Below are 6,106 nucleotides of genomic sequence, written 5' to 3'. Positions count from 1 at the left end.
ATACAAATAAAAACACTATGTAGTAACTACACATATCAAAGAAATGGGTGTACTCAGGTGAAAGCTCCAGCTTCATAAACAATTTTTTGCTTTTCTTAAATGTACCAAATAAGACATAACAAGAAATAAGCTTAATTCTTTAAATAAATAAGTTACTATTTATTACTACTTATGCATATTAAGGGTATTTAAAAATATACAAATTATAGACCTACTCTTTTGAAAACAATCAGAAAATTATAGGTAAGCAAAAGTAAGAAAATATTCATAATATTATCACTGAGAGATGAACACTATTCCATTTTGGTATATATTTTTTCTAGAATCTTTTCAAAAGTCTGATCTTAATTTACATATTACTTTATAACGATGATAACCATAAAACAAATGGTCAATTATTTCCTTCATGTGTGTCTCATATGGTTTTTTATCATATAATAGGCACTTCTGAAAGACACTACACTTAAAAATTGAAAATAGATAAATGAAAATGACCACAAAACAAAGGGCTAGTGTTTGACAAAATTTTTAGGAGGAAACGTAAGATAAAATCTTTGTGACATTGGATTAGGCAAAGTTCTCTTAAACGGAACACACAAAAATATCATTCGCCAAATGAAACAAAAAGCATAGACTTCCTCAAAATTAAGAATTTTTGTAAAATAGATATCTGACAAAGGGTTTTCATCCAAAATATATCTTAAAAATCACTCAAGTAGAAGACAATCTCCCTACCTCCAGCAAAAACTGGATAAAATATTTGAACAGATGCTTCACAAAAGAGGAGATGTGAGTAGTTGCTGTGATGATTAATTTTATGTGTGAATGTGACTAAGTAATCCACAGGGTGCCGAAACATTTGGCCAAACCCCATTTTGGGTGTGTCAGTGAAGGTGTTTCTGTATGAGATTCACATTTGAATCAGCAGCTGAGTAAAACTGCCCCCGTAATGTCCATGGGCCTCATCTGACCCACTGAAGACCTGAATAAGAGGAAGCTTTGCCTGACTGAATGCTGAGCTGTCAGCTTCTCCTGACAAACGTAGCCATTAAGCACATAAAATATTAGTCATCAAAGAAATGCAAGTTAAAACCACAAAGAGTTGCCACTATACACTTGGTAGAATGACCAAAGTAAAACAAACAAACAAACAAACAAACAAACAAAAAAAAACTGACTATACCAAGTGTTGGAGAGAATGTGAAGCAACTGAAACTCTCCTACACTGCTTTTGGTGTATTAAATGGTACGACCACCTTAGAAAGCAATTTGGCAATATCTTATGAAAGTTAAATATGCACTAATATAACCAAGCACAATCATCTGGAGAGAAGTGAAGATACATGTTCACAAAAAGACATGTACATGAATATTCATCATCATTCATAATAGCCAAAAATGAAAATAATCACATGTTTATCAACTGGCGAATGATAAATTGTGGAATATGCATGCAACAAAGGAACAAGATATTAAACACAGTAACATGAATAAATTTAAAAAAATTTTGCTGGCCAGGCGCAATGGCTCATGCCTGTAATCCTAGTGCTTTGGCAGGCTGAGGCGGGTGGATCACTTGAGATCAGGAGTTCAAGACCAGCCTGACCAACATGGTGAACCCCGTCTCTACTAAAAATACAAAATTAGCTGGGTGTGGTGGCACACGCCTGTAATCCCAGCTACTAGGGAGGCTGAGGCAGGAAAATCACTTGAACTTGACAGGCGGAGGTTGCAGTGAGCCGAGATCACACCATTGCACTCCAGCATGGGCAACAAGAGCGAAACTCCATTTTAATAATAATAATAATGATGTAAAAATTGTGCTAAGTGGAATAATTCAAACACAAAAGATTATATTGTATGATTGCATTTATGTGAAACACTAGACAAAGTAGGTCAAAGAGTGACTGAGGGCATTAGATATGGAAGGGGATGGTGGTTACATGACTGTATACAAGCTGTACACTTTGAAAAGATGAATTTTATTGTATATAATGTAAGCCTGAATCAGCTGGAAAGAAGTGGCAGAAGATACATGAAAGTTACCACAAAGAAAAGAGCTACTTTTCGAATGCCTTGAGCATGCCAAATTGCAGAATCAAAGGGAGGTTTTGTCATCTTTTTCCGTTAGCGTCAATATCACCTCTGATAGATATGACTTTCAGAAGACACTGCTTTGGTTTGATCAGTAATTTTTATTTGTCTTTTGGATTCACAGAGATAACATTCTAAGGAGCACTCAATTCTTGCCACAAAACCTGAACCTTGTCTATATTCAATATCTGTGAGGTGAAAACCACAAAAGAAATAGGGATGGAATAAAGGGGAGAGGAAGTGCAATAAACATTGCAAAATCAAAGGTATTCATAACAATGAGCTAAAGTGCATTCAAATCAGCAATTGTGTAATAGCTGAAGACCTTATGAATTGTTCTTTGCCTCAGAGATGTGACAATTGCTGCTTATATAAAGGCCACAGATACACAATTTAATTTAACATTTATGGAGTCTTTACAAAGCACTAGACCTTTGCTAGGTCTTGGGGTTCAAAGATTGGGAGACATAGAATATGTGTCCTCAGATGATCTAGTGAAGAAACAAGCACTCCAGAAAATATTTACAATTTCAAGAGTGGTTATAAGGGAGCTTTATATAGAATGCAATGACAAGGGCAGGCATAGGAGTAATTAATTCTGCCTAGATATTTGAATCATGGCCTCACAAGTATGACATTTGAGCTGGAGTTTTTCAGGTGAGCAGGAAGAAAGAGAATTCCATGCAGAGGGAACACCAGGACCAAAAGAGTGGTGGTGAAAACATGCATAGGAGATCCAGTCTATAGGGAACATTCAGTAAGGATGTCAGGTAAAAAAGACAATGGTAAGATACAAGGCTGGCAAGGGTCACGCAGAGAAGGGCCATGCTTAGTGGTTTTTAATTTATTCTGCTTGAATGGAGAGCTAAAATGCAACTTTAAGCATAGTGCAGTAGCTGCTTTGGGGCCATGCCTGGCTCCCACTTACTACCAAAGCACACTTCCTCCAACTGGTACACATGTTGGCTGCTAGAGGCTCACAAATGCTTCTCTTCTTAGGATAATTGTCCTCAGCTGATAGGAGTCACTTTGCCTGGGAAGTTACTCCCCTCTCCCCACTGATATCTTGAGCAATGCACAGCCCATGATGGATTTATCTGAGGATAAAAAGACCAGCCCCTGTACCTTCATGGGAAACCATTGTGTTGTGGTTTTGGTTCAGAGTCCTCCCTCAGCAGATCGGGTCAAGGCTAGACATCCCCCAACAGCACATACTTTCCTCTTTTCTATCCTCTTCACTCCTTCCCTTGCAAGTTTTTCTTGAGAGGACCCCTCAGAAATTCAGAAGTACCCCTATTCCTGTCTCTTTTCTATCCTCTTCACTCCTCCTCTTGCAGGTTTTTCTTGAGAGCACCCCTCAGAAAATCACAAGTACCCCTATCCTGTCTTAGACTCTGTTTCTAGAGACCATGACTCATGACACTAGGGAATAAGGTGATCAGATTTGTGTTTCAGAAGAAGATCTCAAGGTAGTAGAAGTTGGACAGACTTTAGAAACGGAGAAGGTGCAAGGACAATAGATTTCAGAGATAATGAGGGCCTGGATGGGAGCACCAAAGATTAAGGGACAGGGAGAGGGAGAAGTGACTCCATTATCTCTTGGGTCAGAGGGTATGTGAAGGAGAGAGAAAAGTCTAGGATGACCCCAAAGTTTTGAGGGTGGTTGGATGGGCAATATCATCTACCAAACTACACAATGAATGAGAGAAAACACATCTGGGAGGCAAGATGCAGGCCGACTTGAACTTGATACATCTTGAGACATCTAATGGGGCATCTAGCAGATAATATCCAGTAAATAGTTTGAAATAAGATTCCAGAGCCCCGGTGAGAGGGCAGGGATAGAAATGCAGATTTGGGAGCCATGAACATGTAATTGGTCATTGAATCTATAACCATGGATGAGGAAAAGTGGGCATGGCCACCCTCCGAAGAACTAACCCTTGAGAGGCTATTGGATGATGGGAAACCAACTGAAGAGATCACTGAAGGGCTCCAAGGGGAAAGGGGAGAATCTGAAGAGAGAGGTAATGTCCACAGAAGAGATACTACATTTGAAGAAGAGAATGATTGCAAATGCTAAGGGCAGCAGAGAGTTGAAGTGGCTGAGTACTAGGAATAGGGCAATAGATTCATCAATTTGGAGGTTCTAGATGACTTTGACAGAATATGTCCATCTGTAGTGAGGATAGAGCTAAATGACATTGGGGTCAGAGGGGAATGGGAGGTGAGACGATTGAGGCCAGATGCTTGCATCAAAAGCCTTTTACCCTGTGATTTCCTTCTCCGTACTAAATACTTGAAGTTATTTTGATTCCTTCCTTGTAGCCCATTTTGTTTAGACTGTAGACGTGAATTGTGCATCTGTCAGAAAGAAGAAGCATCTTCCAACTGTGAGGCACAGGCAGCCCAGAAACATACAAACTGTGATGCAGTAAGATCTTAGCCAGTTAACCAGTCTTCCTGCCCACCCATAACTCTGCAAAGAGCAGCTCAGACAGTCCTTGCAAAGGCCCTTGAAGTTCCTGCCCACCCTGGGCATGCGGATTCCACGCTGTGATCCTGGAATCACAGTCAGCCTCCCTTAGGGGGCTGCCCTCCAACTCCAGGAGCTAAAGGTCACAGCCACCCCTGTTCATGAAAAATGCATTTTCCATGGAATCATGTCAACTTGACACTCCTGAAAGAAGGCAAGAACAATGAGAAAGCATTCCAATGAAGCTGTCCTTCCAAACTGCTTTTGCTTTGAATCTTTTTTTTGTTTGTTTCTGTCTTACAACCATCTTTCTATTTAGTAGTTTTTTCTTTGGTGAGTTTACTCTTTGTTTTTCTCATTTCTGCTCCCACCTCTACAGCATACTGGCTAAGTTTTAACGTTGAATTAGAAAATCAAACGTGGGTCAGGTACAGTGGCTCACACCTGTAATCCCAGTACTTTGGGAGACCCAAGCAAGTGGATTGCTTGAGCCCAGGAGTTTGGGACTAGCCTGGACAACATGGCAAAACCCCATCTCTACAAAAACTACAAAAAGTTAGCCAGGTATGGTGGCACATGTCTGTAGTCCCAGCTACTCAGGAGGCCACGATGGGAGGATCAACTGAGACCGAGGGGTTGAGGCTGCAATGAATGATGATCACACCACTGCACTCCAGGCTCGGCAGCAGGGTGAGACCCTGCTTACAAAAAAAAAAAAAAAAAAAAAAGGCTCTAACTCAGGAGAGAGTTCACGTTGGAAATAGGAGGCCAGGATATTCTCTTGGACCTAGCTCATTTGCTCAGCTTCACTGGCCCTGGGGCTTTACTGCTTGCTCCAGGGAGAGCCCTGGTTGCTGCCACCTGGCTCAGCCTCCTATCACCTCAGACTTTTTCAGCTTCCCATAGGGATGAGGGCCAGGAAGGGCGAGGTCTCCGTCTCTCATGACCTTGCTTGAGCAGACAGAGTATGGTTACCTTAACGCCTTCTAGATGCACATCCAGACCCACACTGCAAAGTACAGCATCTAGCTTTTTTAGCAACTACCTTGAAGCTCAAGGCAACACCACCTAGAAGTGCAGGAGGATCAAAGTTCCTCTGAACAAACTTTGACCAGTAAGAAACAGGAGATGGGAAAAACTCAGCAGATAAATCATTCCTCCTTTTGTTCTGCATCAGACGGTGTTCTGTGAGGCCGGGGATTTCTGCCCTGCCTGTCTGGAAGACATTCCACCTGCTCACGCCCCAGCCGAGTTTCTTGTAATGTTGTGACCAGCTGGCATTTGCTTTTTCTTCTTTTATTACATCCTTCTTTCCCTTGCTCTAGCTTCCCTGAAAACATATCTTCCAATAAAGCCTTAGTAAATCAATTTTGTTTCAAGCTTTGTTTTCTATGGAACCCAGGCTAAGTCAGAAACTCAAAAGGGAGACTTGTTTATAGAACTTAGAGTTGGACGGGTCTTAAAGACCATCAAGTTCAAACTCCCATCCACCAGAGGAAATTTTCTTTCACATGCTTGGGCATAGCTAACAAAGGG

General features: G+C 40.9%; 1 annotated feature.

Annotated features, from left to right (window-relative positions):
• Window positions 304-1,503: an enhancer, noted in NCBI's record as "P300/CBP strongly-dependent group 1 enhancer chr1:242792333-242793532 (GRCh37/hg19 assembly coordinates)". NCBI's record gives its function as "activates an origin of replication core promoter dependent on BRD2, BRD4, P300/CBP, MED14 and CDK7 cofactors, with strong dependence on P300/CBP, by STARR-seq in HCT116 cells {active_cell/tissue: HCT116}" and the evidence as "EXISTENCE:reporter gene assay evidence [ECO:0000049][PMID:35650434]".

This window comes from Homo sapiens, chromosome 1 (genome assembly GCF_000001405.40).
Source record: "Homo sapiens chromosome 1, GRCh38.p14 Primary Assembly".
Lineage (NCBI taxonomy): Eukaryota > Metazoa > Chordata > Mammalia > Primates > Hominidae > Homo > Homo sapiens.
The sequence above is the reverse complement of the archived record's forward strand: the minus strand, read 5'-3'. Positions and strand labels throughout refer to the sequence as shown.